This window comes from Homo sapiens, chromosome 12, assembly GCF_000001405.40.
Source record: "Homo sapiens chromosome 12, GRCh38.p14 Primary Assembly".
Taxonomy (NCBI): Eukaryota; Metazoa; Chordata; class Mammalia; order Primates; family Hominidae; genus Homo; species Homo sapiens.
The window spans coordinates 73,356,800-73,379,532 of record NC_000012.12 but is presented as its reverse complement, the minus strand read 5'-3'; the positions used below and the strand labels follow the sequence as shown (position 1 = coordinate 73,379,532).

Sequence of the window (22,733 nt, the reverse complement as noted above, 5' to 3'; positions counted from 1 at the left end):
ATAGCAAACAGTTACATACCACTTACACTGTGCTAAGTGCCCTACTAAATGCTTTGCAAATGTTATTCATTTAACACTCACAAAATGTTATAATAAAAATGATTGACCTCATTTTATATATAAATAAACAAAGGCTTTGAAAGTGCAAAATCTCAGCCAGCTGATATCAGGAGACTGGAGCTGTGCCTCCATGTATGATGGTTCAGGTTGATGGCCACACAAGCTCGTCTGGCAATTGTTATATATCAGCATTGAAATCAACACTTTCTGGCAAGACATGAATTCTCATGCTGTTTTTTTTCTACCAAAGAGGAAGAGATGCCATTACATAATTTTCAACAAAAACATGCTTTATAGAAGTATAATGTCCCTGGAAGAGGGAAGAGGCCATGGAATTACAATCAGAAAGTAAAGAATTTAAGAGGTACCTGGGCATAAGCCAACATTAATACATAGGTTATATGTGATTAGGTCTTAAGAATACACAAATGTATATCAGCATTAAAATATCAAATGTTTTCTGGGCTAATATGAGAGCTCAGAAACTTGACCTGTATCCTAAAAGTTTGGAAGATTCATTAACTAAGCAAGGAATGATAAGACATTTTGAACTTGAAAAATTTATCTGTCTATACAATACAGAGTATAGAGGAAAGGAAACCATCTCTGGAGGCAGGGAGATCCATTATGAAGCTATAGAGGTAATTAAAATAATAAGAAAGGAGAAAAAAGAAACAAAGGAAGGAAAGAAGAAAGAAGGGAGAAATGGAGGGAGAAAGAGAGAAAGAAAGAGAGACAAAAAGTGTTCCAGCCTCAACAAAGGCAGAATTGCTAGTCAAACCACTCCTCTCTGAGCCTCAAGACAACCACAGCAAGACTTAAGGGAAGCCCATGAAGCTCTGAATGACTCTAGCAGGAACACGTGTCTCCCAATATACTCCAGAAATTTCCCCAGATGCCACTGGGTTGGCCTGTGACTGCTTTGACCAATTGTATATGGTGAAAGTAATGCCATTCCAATTCTGGCCCTAGTCTTTCAGAGGATGAGTGTGGTTTCCATTTTGCTTCCCTTAAAGTGCTATCCTGGGTTCAACCAACCAGAATGGAAGAAGTTTGACTGCCATAAGGCCACTTTGATCTGAAGAAGTTGACAATGGCCATGTGGAGAGACCACATGGAGGGAAAGTGATGCTAACCAGCCCAGGCACCAGTGAAGAAACCATTTTAGACATGTCACCACCAGCATATTCCAAATGAAGATCTGAAACCTTGACATATGAGCCCAGTTGAACTATCTAAAACCTTCCCATATATTTAATCTAGCTCAGCTCATGCCCCAGATACCATATAGCAAAGACAAGCCACCTTGCCTAAACTCCTAACCTCACAGTTGTGAATATCAGAAAATAGTTATGAAGCCTTAACTTTGATGAAGATTTGTTCTGCACAATAGATAATAAGATAATTTTTTGATTTGTCTATTTAGTATTTGTCCACCTTCTTATAAGTTTCGTGAATACCAAAATTTCTCTATTTTTTCTCATTAAGCATCAATAGCTTCTAGAACATACTAATTAGTTACTGAAGGAACAAATAAAAATGTATTAAAAACAATACAAAACAGCTCTTTACAGAACAGAATCTGTAGTTCTTATTGACTGACAGGATACAGTTGTGGGCAAAGAAAATAGAAGCTATGATTGGCCTCTGGGCTCTTGATGTGGACAACTGGATTGATAGTGGTACCATCCATAGAAACAGATACATCAGGAGACAGAATTGGCTAGGTATTATAAAGTGATTTATTTGATATATATGGGGATTCAGCTATTATGACATTGCAGGAAATGGCAGATAATAAGATTGATATAAACGCTTAGATATTAGCAGGTTGTATCCTTAATACTAAATAAGTAGAATTTCAATAAAGAAAGGATAGCAGTAACCCATTATTATGTGAATAAAACTAGAAAGAAAGCTAAAACATATTGAAGCTTATTTGGTTTTATATGTAGGAGGCCATTTGTAAACTAAATAAGAACAAATTCAATGAAATTAGACAAAACTAATCTAATAGTAGTAGGTTGAGGTATGAATAAAAATGTAAGAATTGGGAACACTGATTATAAATGACTTTTTAGAGAAAACTAACAAAAACAAGAAAAAAATAAAATAATAAGAATAAGAGTTCCAGAAGATGATTATGATTTCTATAATTTGACATAGAATGTAAGAGTATCTGAAAGAAGGAAGATAAAAACAATATGTAAGTACTCCTAAACTAAATTATAAAATTGAAAAGATGGTGGCATCTTTCAATATTAAGAAAGCAGAAGTCCGAGGATGGGTGAGAGCATGACTGGGGAAAACTTTTAATTACTGATCAAGTTTAAAACTACATTATGACTGTTTGAAAAATTCCATATACTTGCTTAAAGCAATATATAATAAGTCTAAGACATGTTTTATGTCTACAGTATCAAAAACTGATCTACATACAAATAAAATAATAGTTATTTTTTACAAAAGATATTTATCTCCAGATTTCAAATAAATTGTCAATAATAATCAAAAGTCTAATAAAAATTCCATTTAAAAGCAGTGAACAGCAAGTATTAAAACTGTCCAAGCAGAGAACAGACCATTAAGTCAAGCTAATTATTACACTGTTTTTTTCTTAAAGCACCAATAATATTATCTCATGAGTCATTGCATTATTCTGTCTAATGTTAGCCAATGCTTATAATATTCTGCTTTTACTGGATAAGTAAATGTAAATATGATAGATAAAGTGCATATATATTTATAAATCACAATATAAATGTGTGAAGGAGAATCAGGGCCACATTATGAGTTTATAATTCTGAGAAGATAATAGACATTTGAAACAGTCTGGAAATATGTGTCCCTTTTGACTATTTCAATTATTTCAGTTTGATCCCAATCACACATAGAACATTCAATGCTTAAAGTTGTTCCATTTACAATTAAAAAATAAGCGAAGGACTTGAGATAAAAAAAAAGCCTGTTAGATTAAAAATAATAATAATAAAAGCTAACTCTGAAATGTCCAAGAGGGTAAGAATGAGGGAGAGAGAATGAGAGAGAGGGAGAAAGAGAGAATATGTTTGGCTGTAGAGGAGAGAGATTGATTGCTATGAACCTGATATATTTCAAGATTTGTTACCTTCACCAGACAATAGCCTAAAAAATTAACTTCCAGGCTGTGGTATCTCAGGAGGAAGGAAGGAATATAACAATAGATTAGTATCAAAGATTTTCCTCAGCTTTCCAGTCTTCGCTTAGAAGAAAATTGCTAGGCATGATAGTTCTCTGGGCTAGATTACCCTTTACCTGCAAGGTGCAAGTACTTATGGTTGATGCATAAACTTCTATATCTTTGTTATCTTAGATATTATAATTCATAAAATATACCATGACTGATAGTAATATCTGCCATGAGCACAGAGTGGAAAGTGATGAGATATAGCACACATACAGTTCATCTGGGGACTACAATCTTTTAAAATATTATAAAGCATTCTCACTGTGCCTTGATTTTTACTACAAACGTATCATCAGAGTAACAGTATCTGTCCTACATAACCCAAGAGGATATTTTGAGAACTTAACAAACAAAGAGTGTAAACCAAATAAAAAGGTTTATGAACTGTAAAGTAAAATGTCAATGCTATATCTATTTATTTTTTAAAAACCTCATTTATATGATTAAATTAATTTTAATAGAGGTAATAGGATGCAGGCAGAAAACAGAGGGTGGTATATCTTGTTATTCAGATTTTAAAATTTCTCTGTTATATAAAAATTCTCATTTTTAGAATATTGTCAGGTACAGTATATGGCTGCTCACACAAGTCACCTGAGAAAAGTGAGATCGTTCAGCTAGTCTCACTCCGATTTGCTATTCTTTCTTGCCATGCTTAGTCTCACCTCTATGAAGCCCCTGGTACCCAAGCTTGCCTTGCCAAAAAATAATTATAATAGTAAGTTCAGGGTTCAGTAAGGTAATAGATGTCTGAAGTGAAGCTAAGTTAGGGGAAGTCTTTTCACTAGAATCAACGCACATCACACTCCATTGGCCAATGATTGGTTATGACAGGTAATGAGAAAGAAATCCCAAACTTTTCAGTAAGAAGTAAAAAGTGTATAAACCACCCATGCACAGATGGTGGTGAAATGAGGCTTTCAAAGTGTTAAAATACCAAGTAATTCTAACCATACTGAAAAGACTGAGCTATTCATCACTCATTTTTAGGTGTAATACAATATTTATAGCTGTTAGATGTATACACCTACCTAACATCAATATGATACACAGTGCATAATCTCTCCTGTTAATTTGAGTAAACAAATTACTGTGAATGAAAAGTATGCTGATTAAAGCTTATCCAAGAAAAGCTGTGTACAAACAATTTAATAAAAAATCATGTAAATGGTCAAATTATGTTTTGTTCGTAATTTAAATTTGATTATTAAACAAAACTAAGTTTATGAAGTTTTCATCAAGTTATCTTTTTTCTACGATTATGATTATGTTTTTCTAAACCCTTTACTGGAAAACATAAATGGATAAGAGGCCATAAAATGGGTCAAATGATTGTTAATCAAAATGTATATCAGAAAATATTTGATTATTTAATAACATGCAAATTAAATACAGTTTCAGCATGTGGAATGCTAATTCACTACCATTATTTTACTTGCCATAGAATGAAGCAAAAAGAGTTCATCACATTCTCTTGTATTCTTTTAATAGATCATTACTTTTTTGTTTATTGAAAAGAAGTATTGCAGTACTGAGAGGGCTATAGAAACAACCTCAAGTGATGAAAAACAAAAATTTTCCATAATAGATGTTGGCTAAAAAGTCAGACATGCTTCTGAGCATGAAACATACAAAACTCTGGTAAGAGTAGACAAAGAAAGGCCAAATTTCTTTTTTTGCTGACACTGAATTTCAGAGTTACTTTTAAGAGCTTCCCAAAATTGAAGAAGATATTTCAAAATCCATGGCTGTGTCTGTCTCTATGTGATACAGTATACTGCTTACAGAGGTAAATATTTTGCTAAGTGCATTAAACCAGTCACAAAAAGCAAAATACTGTATAATACTGTATGATTTCACTTGTATGAGGTACTTAGTGTAGTCAAAACTCAGAAACAAAAAGTGGAATGATGGTTGCTAGAGACTGGGCAGGAAATGGGGTAAAGGAGAAGGCAGAGAATGAGAATTCATTGTTTAATAGGGACAGAGTTTCAGTTTTGCAAGATGAAGAGTTCTGGAGATGAATAGTGGTGATGGTTGAACAATATAAATTCACTTAATACCACTGAACTGTACATTTAGAAGTGGTTAAAATGATAAGGTTTTTGTCTATTTTACCACAGTGTCAAAAAAAAGTCATGATGTGATTCTTTTATAGGTGCGGAATATCTTATTATTGATGTAATTGGTCATCTACAGTTACATAAAATACCTATAATTACTAGGCTTGTGGACTTGACCCCAACTGGTATGACAGTTGGCTTCTAATTACTGACAGGTAGTATTTTTTCTGGAGTATTTTCCCTGGCCAAACAGGAGCTCATCAATTGCTCAAGTAAGAGGTTATCTGGCCAGCCACTCTTAGCCATCAACAATTAAAGACTTTCTCACATGAGGACTTCTTTCAAGGAGAAGCTGGCTCCCTTACCTTAAAATGAAAACAACTCTTAGGTTCAATTGGTGCTACAGATGTCCCTGTGAGATCTTGCTAAAGCAAGTCTCTGGGTAAAACCAAATTCTTGTTTGGCTTTTTTCCATGGTTTATGCTTCTCCTTCCACTCCTTTCTCCTGAAAGCCATCTTAAATAAATAACTTTCCCAGGTATCACCTCTGGTTCCAGGGAACCAAACCTAAACAATAGCAAGTATAGCACCTATTTCCTAAAAAACCTCTGGAAACTCAGGATTATCATATGAATGAACATATCAGACCTCTCTATATTAAATCTAGCAGGCCTCTTTTTCAGCATAATTATGATCTTAAGATTCAAATCCGACTATATACTCAGTGCTTTGGAAGTACCTGTTGCAAACTCATGTGAAAAATTGTTAACTTTGGGAATATTGTCCAGAATATTTCAGGTCTGGTAAAACAGATTGTTACCATTAATAAAATTTTGCCTATTATGGAAGAGAAGTCCAGATGGATGTCATAGGAAATAGCTGTGGACCTGATGTTAACAATGTATTAATTTTATTATGAGTAGGTTGGCTGAAAAAGTAAAAGAAACTAAAAAAAGCCTTATGGGCATATGGGAACATCAGGGCATCTCTCACAATGGTGAATAGTGTTTTGCCGAAATATGATTGCAGGGCTATTTCCAATAACCTCTGCCAGAAAGTATTAAACAGAATACATCATGGCTATTTGAGCTCATGAAATGGTGCAAAGGAAGAGAATGGGCTACCATATTTTGGCAAGAATTCAACAAAGGAATTGATGAAAAAGTAGCTTCTTGTTTGTTGTGCCAACTCTTACAGCATGAAAATATGAAAGAGATACTAATGAGAAGAGCAGCAGCTGTCATACTGTGAGAACAAGTTGGCACATGAAAAGAAACAGTTATTACTACTGTTATTAGAGACTTGGAATTGTCATTTTATAGTCTGGTACCACTAACATAAAAAGAGATGAGAATGAAACAGCATAGTCAATATTCATATAGAGTTAATAATGGCAAGTATAAAAATGTAGAATATGAATTTTGACAAAATACACTTCATGAGTATGCAAATAATTTTGAAATATGCATAATTTATAAATTAATTTATGCAAAAAATTTAGAGAATTAGCTTACTCAAAGAGTGCCCATTGGGGGAAATTATTCACTAAATTTAATTTTTTTTCACATTAATTAGTCATATGTAAGATATTCATTTTGTTAAATGATCTGTCAATTACAAGTTGGATCCTGATAAAATATGGAGAGTCACATAAAAGAATTCAAATTTTAAAATGTTAATGTAGTTTTTCAAAACATATAGTATATAAATGCTGAAAGTATTACTCAAGCCAAAGAGAGTAGGTCAAATAATGAACCCTCTAAATTATCATAAAATTTCTTCTTCGGTAAGTAGTTCACCTATGATCTTTTACATGCATCTGTGAACAGGCTAATTTATCTGCATATGAATTATAACAAACACTGAATATACTTTATGTGGAATTTTGTACCACATTTTGGGATTGATTCATTCATCAGTATAAGATCAATGTTTACTTTTTACTGATGTTATCACTAACAAATTCAAATTTTAAAAAATATAGCACATAAATGGCATTAAAACCCATTATCATCACAATTCAGACCAAATAGACCATAAATTTTTGGACAATGTTTATTAACCCTTGTAACACAATGATTCACTTTGCTTACTATATATTTTGGGATATAGTAAGCACACTGTTAGATACCATTGTTAAACATGTAGAATGCTATTCATGTGTATCTGAATTTATAAACCAATGACACAACAAAATTGAAGTAAGTGAAATAAATGCATTATACACTTTAAAAACATAAAACTCTATTCAAGTCATTTGTGATTTCTTTCATTACACAAAAATTTTGATAGAGATTATTAGATCCAAATTCTCTTAAAATTTACTATTGCCAAAGATAATTACATTGCATATACCATACAACAGAATCCATTATAAAAATATTTAAATTGACCTTGGTTTGAGTACAGGATTTTACATATGATGCTGGGCAAATCACATAATCATTGTTTTCACAATTATAAGACATGAAATTATTTTCTGTTGTGGTCTCCCTTACAGGATAATCATAAGCTTCAATGGTTAAAGTACCATAAATATGAAAGATTTTATTATCTTTGTTAGCAACCAACACATTTAGGGAGCATTCTCAACTGAACGTTCAATGTTTCCCAGTGGTAGACTAATCATAATATTATAGCCCTTGAAGAAATAATCTGATGTCATTAAATCAGTTTCTCTGTTTCTTCTTTTTTGTTTAACTCCTGAACTCAAGTTGAAAAATGAATGACCAAGAGAGAAAAATGATGGACAAACTTAAGCTGTTACATCTCTATCTTTCAAATATTTATCCCCTGGAGAATAGCTGCCATTTGGAACATGAAACAGAATCATTTATTTCATCTTTTCAAGTTCTAGGATGTTCTCATTAGAAATCATATGTTACTAAAAATCCTGGCCAAAGGCAGGGGAGGAGGAAGAAAGAAAAACATTATCACCTAAGCAACAATAATAAGAATGTAAACTCCATGAGGGCAGAAATGATTAAATATTTTCCTAATTTTTATAATCTCATGAATATTTTTCAATGCCAGCACATAGTAGGATGTAAAAAGAATATTTGTTTCTTTTGCTGTGCAGAAGCTCCTTAGTTTAATTAGATCCTATCTGTCAATTTTGGCTTTTGATGCCATTGCTTTTGGTGTTTTAGTCATGAAGTCCTTGCCCATGCCTATGTCCTGAATGGTATTGCCTAGGTTTTCTTCTAGGGTTTTTATGGTTTTAGGTCTAACATTTAAGTCTTTAATCCATCTTGAATTAATTTTTGTATAAGTTGTAAGGAAGGGATCCAGTTTCAGCTTTCTACATATGGCTAGCCAGTTTTCCCAGCACCATTTATTAAATAGGGAATCCTTTCCCCTTTTCTTGTTTTTGTCAGGTTTGTCAAAGATCAGATGGTTGTAGATGTGTAGTATTATTTCTGAGGGCTCTGTTCTTTTCCATTGGTCTATACCTCTGATTTGGTACCAGTGCCATGCTGTTTCGGTTACTGTAGCCTTGTAGTATAGTTTGATGTCAGGTAGTGTGATGCCTCCAGCTTTGTTCTTTTGCCTTACAATTGTCTTGGCAATGCAGGCTCTTTTTTGGTTCCATATGAACTTTAAAGTAGTTTTTTCCAATTCTGTGAAGAAAGTCATTGGTAACTTGATGGGGATGGCATTGAATCTCTTTAAATTACCTTGAGCAGTATGGCCATTTTCACGATCCAACCCAAATGTCCATCAGTGATAGACTGAATTAAGAAAATGTGGCACATATACACCACGGAATACTATGCAACCATAAAAAAGGATGAGTTCATGTCCTTTGTAGGGACATGGATGAAGCTGGAAACCATCATTCTGAGCAAACTATCACAAGGACAGAAAACCAGACACCACATTTTCTCACTCATAGGTGGGAATTGAACAATGAGAACACTTGGACACAGGATGGGGAACATCACACACTGGGGCCTGTCGTGGGGTGGGGGGAGGGGGGAGGATTAGCATTAGGAGATATACCTAATGTTAATGACCAGTTAATGGGTGCAGCACATCAACACGGCACATGTATACATATGTAACAAACCTGCACATTGTGCACATGTACCCTAGAACTTAAAGTATAATAATAAAAAAAAAATTTGTTCATGTCTAAGTTCAGAAAACACTAACCCAAAATATGCCTCCTTAAAGGTCACTCTGACCTTTTTTGCCATCCTTTCTTCTGTCTCCCTCTCTCCCCACAAAGCAAGCCATACAAGCTAGAATTCCTATCCCCTAAAGAAAGGTCACTTTCTGCCTTCTTCTCTCTCTTTTTGGAGATTCTCATATGACTGGTGTCCTGCCCCCATATCTAGGGGGAAGGAATGTCATAGACATAGGAAAGAATCCGAACAAACAGGCCTTGCTGAGTTCCCCCAGTTTATTACCGTTAGATCATACCCCTTTTTGTCCATTTATGTTTCTCCACCATTACTCACTTCTTTCATCAGACTTAGCTTAAAAATATGGTTTTCTCTGTGTCTTTGGGTCTTCATTCTGAAGGCCCCAATGTCACAAAAGACTTTGGTTGAATTAATTTGTTCTGCTTTTCTGTTGTAAATCTATGTTGTTATAGGGGTGTCAGCCATGAACCTTGTGATGGGTAATGAAAAGATTTAACTTTTTCTCCCCTACATTGCATAAATGAATGACTTGTTTGCATTTGGTTTGCATTTAGGAAGTGTTTAAAATAGGCAAATTCATAGAGATAGAAAGTACATTAGAATTACCTGGGGCTGGGGGAAGGAGGGATGATAACAAAGTTTTCAAAATAGTCATTGCCTAACATCATGAATGTGATTAATGCCACAAAATTTTACATATGAAATGGTTAAAATGGCAATTTTTAATATATATTCCATAGAAATAAAATATTTTTAAAGAACTATTACTCTAATATGGAAAAACTTACAAGTTTAGAAATAAGCAGATAAAATCACCCAAGGAACCCAGAAAAAGTGAGCATTTATGATCCTAAAGTACCTATCTTAAAGCATACTATTAATAACATGTAGTTTTCAGGTAAAAATTATATAATGATAAATGAACATAAGTGGAGAATTGCTAAGTTTTGATAAATATATGCATCCATGAAACTACCATTCCTGTTGACATGGAACATTGCCAATACCTCAGAAAGTCCCCTCTTCCAAGGGTTTGCTGAAGATGTCTTATAAAAATTTACAAGAGAAGATTGACAAATTTTCAGGAATTTTATGAACTATTTGTTAAACACAAGTTTTATTAAAAATAATTATCTAAACTTACAACTAAATACATTATATTAAAAACAAAATAGATGTATAATAAAATATCCTACTAATAATTATTTTACTATATATTACTGTTCTCTTGTGCTCATGAAGTTATATTATCATATTGCCTGAAAATAAATTTATGATGACATGAACAAAAAAAAAGAAATATTAGATTTTGTTATGCTATTGCAATTTCCTGATTCTGTATTCAGTGACTTCAACTTCCCAATGGTTGTTTGAAATATACAAATAGTAAATTTTGTGAATTAGGGTTTTTCCCTTCCACAGAGAAGTTTTTAAACACATACTTGTACCCCAATGCTCATACACCTTTTCAGCCATTCACTGTTCCCTAGAGACTACCTATGTTTTTCATCCCTACCCATAGTTTAATTTTGCCTGTTCTTGAATTTCACATGAATGTAATCATAAAAGATATTCCTTTGTGCTTCTATGTTTTTGAAATCTTTTCCATATTTCGATGTATATCAGTATCTTATTATTTTTCATTGCTAAGTTGTGTTCTATAATAGGAATATACTGCAATTTATTTATCCAGACTTCTTATGACAATATGTGAGTTATTTGCAATTTGGTGTTATTTAGAATTAAGCTGCTACAAACATTCTTGCAGAGTCTTTTGTGGATATATATATGTATATATTTTAATTTTTCTTAAGTAAATATTTTTCTTAATATCTAAAAGCAGAATTGATGAATCATGGGTCTTCAAATACGTTTAATTTTAAAGAAGCTGCCAAATAGTTTTGCAGAGTGTGTACCATTTCATATTCCCACCAGCAGTAGAGGAGAGTTCTAATAGCTATATTTCTTTCTCTTTTTTTTTTTTTTTTGAGACGGAGTCTCACTCTGTTGCCCAGGCTGGAGTGCAGTGGTGGGATCTCTGCTCACTGCAAGCTCCGCCTCCCGGGTTCAAGCCATTCTCTTGCCTCAGCCCCACTCCCCCAGCAGCTGGGACCACAGGTGCCCGCCACCACAACCGGCCAATCTTTTGGATTTTTAGCAGAGATGGGGTTTCACCATGTGAGCCGGGATGATCTTGATCTCCCGACCTCGTGATCTGCCCGCCTCGGCCTTCCAAAGTACTGGTATTACAGGCATGAGCCACCGCGCCAGGCCTTTTTTTTTTTTTTTTTTTTTTTTTTTTTCCAGATGGATTTTTTGCTCTTGTTGCCAGGCTGGAGTGCAATGGCACAATCTCGGCTCACCGCAACCTCTGCCTCCAAGTTCATGTGATTCTCCTGCCTCAGCTTCCTCAGTAGCTGGGATTACAGGCATGTGCCACCAGGCCTGGCTAATTTTGTACTTTTAGTAGAGATGGGGTTTCTCCATGTTGGTCAGGCTGGTTTTGAAATCCTGACCTCAGGTGATCAGCCCGCCTTGGCCTCCCAAAGTGCTGGGATTACAGGTGTGAGCCACCATGCCCGGCCATAGCTGTATTTCTTACCAAATACATAGTATACATGTCTTTTAAGTTTTAGTAATTTTAGAAAATTTGAAATGATACCACATTATGAGTTTAATTTGATGATTAATGGTGTTGATCATCCTTATGTGATTGTTAGCCAGCTATCTGTACATCTTCACTTGTAAAGTGTCTATTCATGTGTCTTGCTCAATTTCTCGAGTTGTTTTTTGCTATTGTATGAGTTCTTTTTATTGCTGGTACAAATGCTTTGTCAAATGCATGCATTATAAATATTATATCTGACTTACCTTCTTTATTTGAAAGTAAGATTTGATGAGCATAAATTCTAGTTTTGATAAATTCTTTTTTTTTTTTTTTTTTTTTTCTGAGACCGAGTCTTGCTTTGTTGCCCAGGCTGGAGTGCTGTGGCCAGATCTCAGCTCACCGCAACCTCCGCCTTCCGGGTTTAAGCAATTCTCCTGCCTCAGCTTCAGGAATAGCTGGGATTACAGGCACCCACCAACATGCCCAGCTAATTTTTGTATTTTTAGTAGAGATGGGGTTTTAACCATGTTAGGCAGGCTGGTCTCGAACATCTGACCTTGTGATCCACCCGCCTTGGCCTCCCAAAGTGCTGAGATTATAGGTGTGAGCCCTGCGCCTGGCCTGAATTCTTATAAATTCTAATCTATTTTCTTTATTGGTTGGTGCATTTTGTTCTTTCTAAAAAATCCTCTTATATTCCAAGGTTATTAGGATGTCCTTCTATGATTTCTCTTAGAAGACTTCACTTTAAATATATGTTTCATCTGACATAAATTTTTGCGTATAACTTCAGGTAGGTGTTGATGTTAGTTTTCTTTTCTATGTGGATATCCAGCAGTTCTAAGACCATTTTTTGAAAAATATTCTTTCTCTATTGAATTGCCTTTGTGTTTTGTCAGAAAGCAACTGACCTTATATGTGTACCTCCTTCTCTTCTATTGATTTCTTTTTCTGGATATACTCAAGAAAACACTATCTTAATCACTGTAACTTCATAGTAAGGAATATTAAGACTTGAAACAAGTAGTGTGGAGCCTTTCAACTGTTTTTTTTTTTTTAACTCAACATTCTTTTAGGCTGCAAAAGTTATTTTAAATGTCTATACACATTTTATTCACAACTCATCAATTATTACGAGAAACCATTTTGTGGGAATTTTGACTTGAATCACTTCTTATCTTTTTAGATCAGTTGAAATCTTAGCAATATTTGGCTATTTAATTAATGAACATGATACATGTCTTCATTTATTTAGGTCATCTTTAATTTCCTGTAGCAATCTCGTGCAGGTTTTTTTTTTTTTGAGGTGGGGGTGGCGTGGGTGGATAATCTCCCTTTGTTGCCCAGGATGGAGTGCAAGTGCAGTGGTGGCCTGATCTCAGCTTACTACAACATCTGCCTCCCAGGTTCTAGTGATTCTCATGCCTCAGCCTCCCAAGTAGTTGGGACCACAGCTGCATACCAAAAGCCCGGCCACTCTTAACAGTATCCTACTAGAGGTTTTTTGATTTTTTTATTACACTTTAGTTTATAGCTTTTGATGCATCTGTTAAGTTGCTGGTAATTCACTTTGAACTTGTAAAGGCTTGGTTTTATACTTCGTAAGGCACACTTTGGAAAACTCAAGGTTTTTTTTAAGCACCTTTAATTTGGCAAGACTCAAACTCCAAACTTTGCTTCCTACCCTACCAGGCTTTGGCAGAGCCTGGACTCTCTTCTTGGTCTTTCAGTCCTTTGGTTTTTATTTTGCTTTAGTTTATTTGTTTTGTTTTATTTGCTTGATTTTTTACTTGGCTCTTTGTACTTTCTTGCATGGCTAGGCAGCTTAGGAGTAAGTCATGTCATTAAGAGGAGTTTATAGATATATTTTGGGTAGGCTCAGCTTTGACTTCCTTCTTTCTAGAACTTACCTCTTTAATTTCCAGTCACTTGGGTTACCTAAAATTCTGTTTTGTGAAATCTTAAGCTGATAGCACAACAGCATTTTGCTTGAGTTCTAACTGCCACACTCATGCAGATTTGGAAATATCAGCAGGGGAAAGACATGGATACTTGGATCTCATCCTGTTGAATTACACTGTGGAGAATTGAATTCTCTGAAGTTTATTCCTGACTTAAATAGCTCTCTAATGCTTTCTTACAACTGTTTCCCTCACCCCCATCCCACAGAGTTTGTAAATGTTATCTTTGATCTGGTTATTTCAAAACAAGCCACTCTGCTATTTCTGGAATTGGAAATCACTAATTTATTTTAAAAGTACAATGTAAAGGCATTGCTATGTCATTTACTTACCATATCTCTAACTTGAGTTTTTACCAAACAGACATTTAGAGTTTGATAAACCACAGGGAACATATATTAAAGACTGAATTTCAAGAAATTGTTCAAAAAAAAGTTTAGTGGTAATGCATTCAATTACTATGTGACATATGTGTAGTTGAATTCACTGTCAATTTCTCTAAAAACTAGTTTTAAATGTCTATTTATATTTTAATGTTATTCAGACTTTAGCTACTTGAGATTTAAAATTTAAAAGACCATGAAATGATGACAGCTAGTTCTCAGACTTATAGGATATCTGTGATATCTGTGATAGGATATCTGTGATATCTGTGATAGGATATCTGTGATAGGATATCTGTGATATCCTATATACTTGGGTCCTATGTTCAGAACACATTCAGAAATAATCTTAGAAAAATTAATTAGCATGAAGAAAAACACCACCAAAAACAAAACACCAGAAATAGGTTTGCTAAACACAAGGGGCTTGTAAAACATCAGTGATGTCTATTAAAAAATTTATAAAACATGTTCAATAACAACAAAAAAAAATGAGTCTTACAATTTAGCATCAGAAAAGTACAGATAAGTTACTTTTTTTTATTTTTCCTTTTTTTTTTTTTTTTTTTTGATGTAGTCTCACTCTGTCTCCCAGGCTGGAGTGCCGTGGTGCGATCTTGGCTCACTGCAGCCTCCACCTCCCGGGTTCCAGCAATTCCCGTCCCTCAGCCTCTCAAGTAGGAGGGATTACAGGCGCGCATCACCATGCCTGGGTAATTTTTGGTATTTGTAGTATAGAATGGGTTTCACCATTTTAGCCAGGCTGCTCTTGAGCTCCTAACCTTAAGTGATTCACCCGCCTCGGCCTCCAAAGTGCTGGGATGACAGGCGAAGTCACTTGTTTCTTTTTATCTTGAGAAAGTGAATGGTTGAAGAGAGTTACAATTTCTCATGCAATATATTTTGTCAACTACAAATATTCATCCTCCTGAAAGTTCTCAAAAACGTATGAAAAGTGAAAAACAGTAAACTTGGTTGAGTAAAATTTCTTCTCGGTGTCATTTCAAATGGATTCATTCTCAAACAGGCTCTCTTCTTATTATTGCACAGTGGCTGGAGAAGCTCCAGATCTCAAAACCTCTCACATCTCTTCTGGTAGTAAGAGGAAAATCCATTTTTCTAAATTACAAGCAAAAGTCATTGTTTATAATAGACTCTTACTGGTCATATGAGCATCTCGATCTAGTTATAGAAGTCAGAAGTTTATGATGGACTGATTCCAAGATACATTGTTCACATAAAACCTTTCTTTTCAAAAGGGATGTGGAACCCCACCTAAAATACACAACAGATAATGGTACAAATGTGATTTTTTTTAAAGGAAAATGGTAAGAACAATCATTATTGGAGGGCCACGATGTAACTAATATCTACTAAATACTCAATATAGTCTAATGGGTTTTCTTTCTCTTTAGACCTTATCTAGGAATACTTATCACCAACTTTATTAAGGATGTAATTTTAGTTGGAATGTGTTCCCACACCCTGGATTCTACAAGTAAGTCTACCAAGGTCTAATCAAATTCATGTTTATGGTCACGAAAGAAAAGAAAAGAAAAAAAGAAAGAAAGAAAAAAAAGCATTGTCAAGAAAGAAAAAGAAAGAAAAAAATAAAGAAAAGCATTGTCCCAGCTTTCACAGCCAGTGAGGTAAAGATAGAAACAGTCTATTAATAATAGGACTCACATTTTGTTCCATTTAAGTATTTTCCTTTTTTCATATGTATTAAGCTTCTCAAACTGTGCCCAACAAAAGTTCCCCACAACAAAAATTCAGGTAATGATCAATATGCAATTTTCTTCCATATTTTTTCTCTTTGATGTGTGCAGGTTGGACTGGGGGATGGAGAAGCTCATGGTTGAGTTATTTTGAGGTATTTTTGAGCTGCTTATTAGCAGGTTCTCATTAGTAGCTTCTTATTATGAGCTTTCCCAGGCAGTTGTGACATGTTTTGAAGATAACTCTTTTGTTCCATTGAAATCATAATGCCTACTTTAATCTGCAATGAATTCTAAAAAAGAGAAGAAAAGGCCAATTAATTATAAAATAGCTCAAAAGTCCTTGTTATATATCACCAGCTTTTACACCTTAGACAATATTAAATTACAGAGTCTTGAGTGAAAAAGTATATTTTGCTTTGAAACCAGTCTGGCAGCAATAATATGTGCTTCCACATAATAATAGGCACCAGAAAAAGAAGCAATGCCAGTAATCCCTTTAGAGCTGAAAGGAACCCATAAATAAAATAACTTTAGAGAGGCTGGTGTTTACTGCAAGTGCCTTCATTAAAAGAGGGATCGAATATCAATATGTCAAACACTTCAGTGACAATTTATTGTGTAATATCAGTGCACCAGGTATTACAGAATTTTGTTTTTTTTTTTCTTATTGGTTAATGTAAGACATTATATGATGCTAACTATGCTACAGTCATAAGCACATATGTAATGACACTTTTAATTCTTAAAAAGAGGAAAGTACTGTTACTATTCCCATTTTACTGTGAAGATGCTGAGGCATGGAGAGGTAACAAACTCACCCACTGTTCCATAGTTATAACAAATATGACCTGTCTATTAAGGCAGACAGTCTAATTCTAGCGTCCAGTCTATTCACCCCTTGGCTGCACTAACCCTGTTTTAAGGATAATACATGTGTTTCTGAACCTTCTTGTGTAAACCTCCCCTTCTATCTCCTTTCCTCGGATCTCTCTGTTGGCCCCACTTAGTAATGTTTTTCTTTAACTTGGCCAGGCTTCTTACTAACACTGCCACAGAAATTTTACATCTCCTTCCTCCCCTATTCTATGACTTTTTTCATACTATTCTCAATTACTTAAATAACTTGCATTATTCAGCACACATTTAACGATTCCCTATTTAATGATCTAGATACTGTGTAACTCCTATTAACAAATCTATCCTAGTTTGTTCCTTCAGGATTTGGTTTATGAATCACTTTCTCTGGGAAGCAATATATAATATCCTTTCCTCAAACTAATCATTCCTTACTTAATGTTTTATTGTTGCAATTCACGTTGAGTACTGTGGATTTCCATTCATTTCTAATTCAAATCCGCAGGACTTTGTGGTGAAATGCGCCTGGGATTTAGCATAAGAAGATAAAAACCAAAGCCAAGTATTACTTGCCAAGTCATTTATTGTAGTTGACATTCCTTCTTGTTACCAAAATGTTAATAATAGCAATTATAATGTGATTTAATTCATAGGATTATTAGGAGGGTCCAATATGATCCAAATAGACATGCTTTATAAAACCATATAGCACAAATATTTTGGTTTCTTACCCCAAACCTGGTTCCAACCCACACTCACATTGTCCTTAATATTTAACCACTCATTTGCAATCAACCATGTCCAGCCCATAAATCAATGCTATTCTAGCCTGACAGATATTCTAGGGGCATTTTGCTAACTTTAGCTAGTGTGATTTATAAATTAGTCTCAGGCTATCTGTGTCAAAAAGATTGCATGTGGAGGTTTATTTTTATTTTTTTTTAAACTGGATAAAGCAAGTGATTATTGGGCTGTGCAGTTTCTCCTCCTTCTCATCCTGCTCATCCTTCTTCTTTTTCTATTTCTTCACAGGTTTATTAAGTTATAATTGCTGTGCATTAAATTGCACATTTAAAACATGCAATTTTTTGGATGTTTCCTCATGCCTCTTTGTTACCCATTCCTCCCTCCTCAGTTCCTCTGTCCCTAGGCAACCATTGATTTGTTTTCTGTCACTGTAGACTTTTTTTGCATTTGCTAGCTTTCACTTAAGTTGAATCCATATCAAATGTACTCTTTCCTGTCTGATATCTTTCACTTAAAATTATTTTTGAAATTTATTCACATTGTTGTAAGTATTATTAGTTAATTCCTTTTTATTGTTGTGTAGAATTCCATTATATTAATACACTACAGTCAGTTTATTCATTCACCTGTTAATGGCCAGTAGGGTTGTTTCAAGTTTGCAGTTAATATAAATGATATGCTATAAGCATTTGCTTACCAGTCTCTTGCGAGCATACGCTTTCAATTCTTATGGATAAATGTGTAGAAATGAAATTGCTGTTATAAAATAGGTGTACATTTAACTTTATAAGAAACTGCCAAACTGTTGAACAAAGCAGTTGTGTCAGTTGTGTCAGCACTCTATCAGAGTTCAGGTTTTGCTTCATCTCCTCAACAACACTTGCTATACCAGTCATTTTTATTTTTTTTCTTCACGTGGCCTTTTGTCCTATTTACAATATTTTTGCCTCATGCCTGTAATCCCAGCATTTTGGAAGGCCAAGATGGGTGGATCCCTTGAGTCCAGGAGTTTCAGATCAGCCCGAGCAACATGGCGAAAAACAATCTCTACAAAAAAATACAAAAATTAGCTGGGCGTGGTGGTGTGCTCATGATCACGTCACTGCACTCTAGCCTGGGCAACAGAGGGAGACCCTGTCTCAAAAAAAAAAAAAAAAAAAATCTTGCCAAACCTAAGTTTACTAAGTTTTTTAAGGCAACTTAAAAAAGTTGCCTACTTTTTTAGAAGTTTTATAATTTTAGTCCTTACATTTAAGTATATGCTTCAAGTTTTTTTTTATATCTTTAAAAAATCTGATGATGTAGCTTTTTATCTGGTTGACATCTCTTTTTTGAAGAAAGCTTTTCAATTATCTTAGTACTATTCTTTTAGAAAAGATAATGATTTCCTCAGTAACTTGCTTTGGCAATATTTTGATAATGTAACTGACTAGAGAGTATATGCCTATTTCTGGTCTCTTCTATATGATCTATATGACTATCTTTTTGCCAGTCTCACAGTGTCTTTCTTATAGTAGCCTTGTAATAAATATAAACATCAGATAGTGTAAGTCCTCCAAAATTGTTCTTATTCTTCCAAATTTGTTTTGATCATTTTTGTTTCTTTGCATTTCCGTATCAATTTTAGAATTAGCCTGCAAAATTATATTTATAAAAGCCTTTTGGGATGTTGATTAGGATTGTGTTAAATTTAAATATTAATTTGGGAAAAAAAATGACATCCTAATATAGATGTTTCTATACCTGTGAAAACGGTATAACTCTGCATTTACTTAGGTCTTGCTTAATTTATCTCAGTAAGTTGTTTTCACTATATTTGCCATGCACGTTTGTCAAAATTTCCTAAATATATATTTTTGATGTTATTAAATATTGTATTTTGGTATATTTTATCATTGTAAATTCTTATTTTTTATTAGTCATACATAGATTCACTGATTCATCTTTTATCCTGAAAATTTTCCAAAACTATTTATTAGTTCTACTGAAATGTTTATGTGTTCATTACGATTTTCTATAGAGATAATCATGTTGTAAGAATGAAAGAATTTTTTTTTCATCTATTCGGATCTGAATGATATACATTTCATTTGCTTCGCTATTGCATTCTCTAGAAACTCCAGTAAATATGTTGACTAAAAATAGGGAGAATTAACATCTAGATTTATTTTTGATCTTTGGGGGAAAGTATTTACTCTTTCATTGCTAAGTATGATGTGAACTGTATGCTTTTCTGTATAAGCCCTTTATTGCACTGATGAAGCACCTTATATTTGTAGGTAGCTGAGAGATTTTTGTCATTTATGGGTATTGAATTTTCAAATATTTTCCTTCACTGATTGAGATGATCACATGTATTTTAGTCTGTAACTGTGTGAATTACTTTAGAAAATGTTAAATATCTCAGATATTTTTTGCTATATCTGGCATTTCAAACAAACAAAATATTTTCTCGTTAGCTCAGTTACATCTTCCTCTAACTTTGACTTGCATCTATTATCAGACAAGTTGATCACCTTCAATATGAATTAAAAAATAGAGTTGCAATTTTTTTCCCTATGGAGGAAAAATCTTCAATTTTATTATTATTTTTCTTTTACCTGCTGGTTTTCTTAGAATGGCTAATTCTAGAATATTTTGAAATCAATTAATATTAATTTTTTCTCAGTAAACAAATTTTAAATATAGCCAGTAACAGGATGAACTCCATGGCCTAACCAGCTCAGCATAAACACTGAGTCTGCCCCATAGTTGTTATATGACCTTGGCCAAATTATTTAATGACTCTGTGTTTCAGTTTCTTAATCTAGGAAACAGGAATAGTATTATTACTTACTTCATAGGATTAGTATAACGATTAAATATATTAGTATATAAGTAGCTTAGATCAACCTCCAGCCTATAATGAGCATGATACGTGTTAAAAATTTTGTATTTGTAATTGTATGACTAAGTAAGTTACTCAATCTCATAACAATATAATTTCTTTGTTTGTTAAAATGGGGTAAATAATAGCAGTTATCTTACAAAATTTTCTTCAATGAAATACTGTGTTAAGTAGTTATCACATAAATGATGAATTAAATCTATTTTGATATTATAATTTTATTCTTTTTTTTTTTTTTTTTTTTTGAGACACATCTCACTCTGTCACCCAGGCTGGAGGGCAGTGGCACAATCATGGCTCACTGCATCCTCAACCTCCCGAGCTCAAAGGATCCTCTTGCTTCAGCCTCCCAAGTGGCTGGAACTATAGGTGCATGCTACAATACTGGGATGATATTTTTTGTTTGTTTTTAATGTTGTAGAGATGGGTTCTCACTATGTTACTAAGGCTGGTCTTGAACTCCTGAGCTCAAGTGATCCTCCTGCCTCAGCCTCACACATTGTTGGGATTACAGGCATAAGCCATCATGCCCAGCCCAGTGTTTTTATTCTTTTTTTTTTTTTTTTTGATTTTACTTTAAGTTCTGGGATACACGTGCTGAACGTGCAGGTTTGTTACATAGGTATACATGTGCCATGGTGGTTTGCTGCACCTATCAACTTGTTATGTAGTTTTAAGCCCCACATGTATTAGGTATTTGTCCTAATGGCGTCCCTCCCTTTGCCCACCAATTCCCCGATAGGCCCCGGTGTGGATGTCCCCCTTCCTGTGTCCATGTGTTCTCATTGTTCAACTCCCACTGATGAGTGAGAACATGCAGTATTTGGTTTTCACAATGCAGTATTGTGTTAGTTTGCTGAAAATGATGGTTTCCAGCTTTATCCATGTCCCTGCAAAGGACATGAACTCATTCTTTTTAATAGCTGTATAGTATTCCATGGCATATATGTGCACATTTTCTTTATCCAGTCTATCACTGATGGGCATTTGGGTTGGTTCCAAGTCTTTGCTATTGTAAATAGTGCTGCAATGAACATATATGTGCATGTGTCTTTATAGTAGAATGATTTATAATCTTTTGGGTATATACCCAGTAATAGGATTACTGGGTCAAATGGTATTTCTGGTTCTAGATCTTTGAGGAATCGCCACACTGTCTTCCAAAATGGTTGAACTAATTTACACTGTCACCAACAGTGTAAAAGCATTCCTATTTCTCCACATCCTCACCAGCATCTGTTGTTTCCAGACTTTTTAATAATCACCATTCTAACTGGCATGAGTAGGTATCTCATTGTGGTTTTGATTTGCATTTCTCTAATAATCAGTGATGATGAGGTTTTTTTCATGTTTGTTGGCCACATAAATGTCTTCTTTTGAGAAGTGTCTGTTCATATCCTTTGCCCACTTTTTGATAGGGTTGCTTTTTTCTTGTAAATTTGTTTAAGTTCCTTGTAGATTCTGGATATTAGACCTCTGTCAGATGGATAGAGTGCAAAAATTTTCTCTCATTCTGTACACTGCCTATTCACTCTGATGATAGCTTATTTTGCTGAGCAGAAGCTCTTTAGTTTAATTAGAATCCATTTGTCAATTTCAGGTTTGTTGCCATTGCTTTTGGTGTTTTATTCATGAAATCTTTGCCCATGTCTGTGTCCTGAATGTTATTACCTAGGTTTTCTTCTAGGGTTTTTATGGTTTTAAGTCTTACGTTTAAGTCTTTAACCCATCTTGAGTTAATTTTTGTATAAGGTGTAAGGAACAGTTCCAGTTTCTGTTTTCCACATATGGCTAGCCAGTTTTCCAGCACGATTTATTGAAAAGGGAATCCTTTCCCATTGCTTGTTTTTGTCAGGTTTGTCAAAGATCAGATGGTTGTAGATGTGTGGTGTTATTTCTGAGTTATCTGTTCTGTTCCATTGGTCTGTATATCTGTTTTGGTACCAGTACTATGCTTTTTTGGTTACTGTAGCCTTTTAGTATAGTTTGAAGTCAGGTGGCCTGATGCCTCCAGCTTTGTTCTTTTTGCTTAGGATTGTCTTAGTTATATGGGCTCTTTTTGGGTTCCATATCA

At 34.2% G+C, this 22,733-nt stretch overlaps 1 long non-coding RNA gene across 1 annotated transcript; it reads right to left on the bottom strand.

Annotated features, from left to right (window-relative positions):
- Nucleotides 1–14,331: 14,331 nt before the first annotated feature.
- LOC124902966 (uncharacterized) lies at nucleotides 14,332–16,462 on the bottom strand. Its single transcript, XR_007063368.1, has 2 exons — nucleotides 16,136–16,462; nucleotides 14,332–15,724 (listed from the first exon to the last, which is right to left on the bottom strand). It is a non-coding gene; the product is annotated as an uncharacterized LOC124902966 (long non-coding RNA).
- Nucleotides 16,463–22,733: the final 6,271 nt, after the last annotated feature.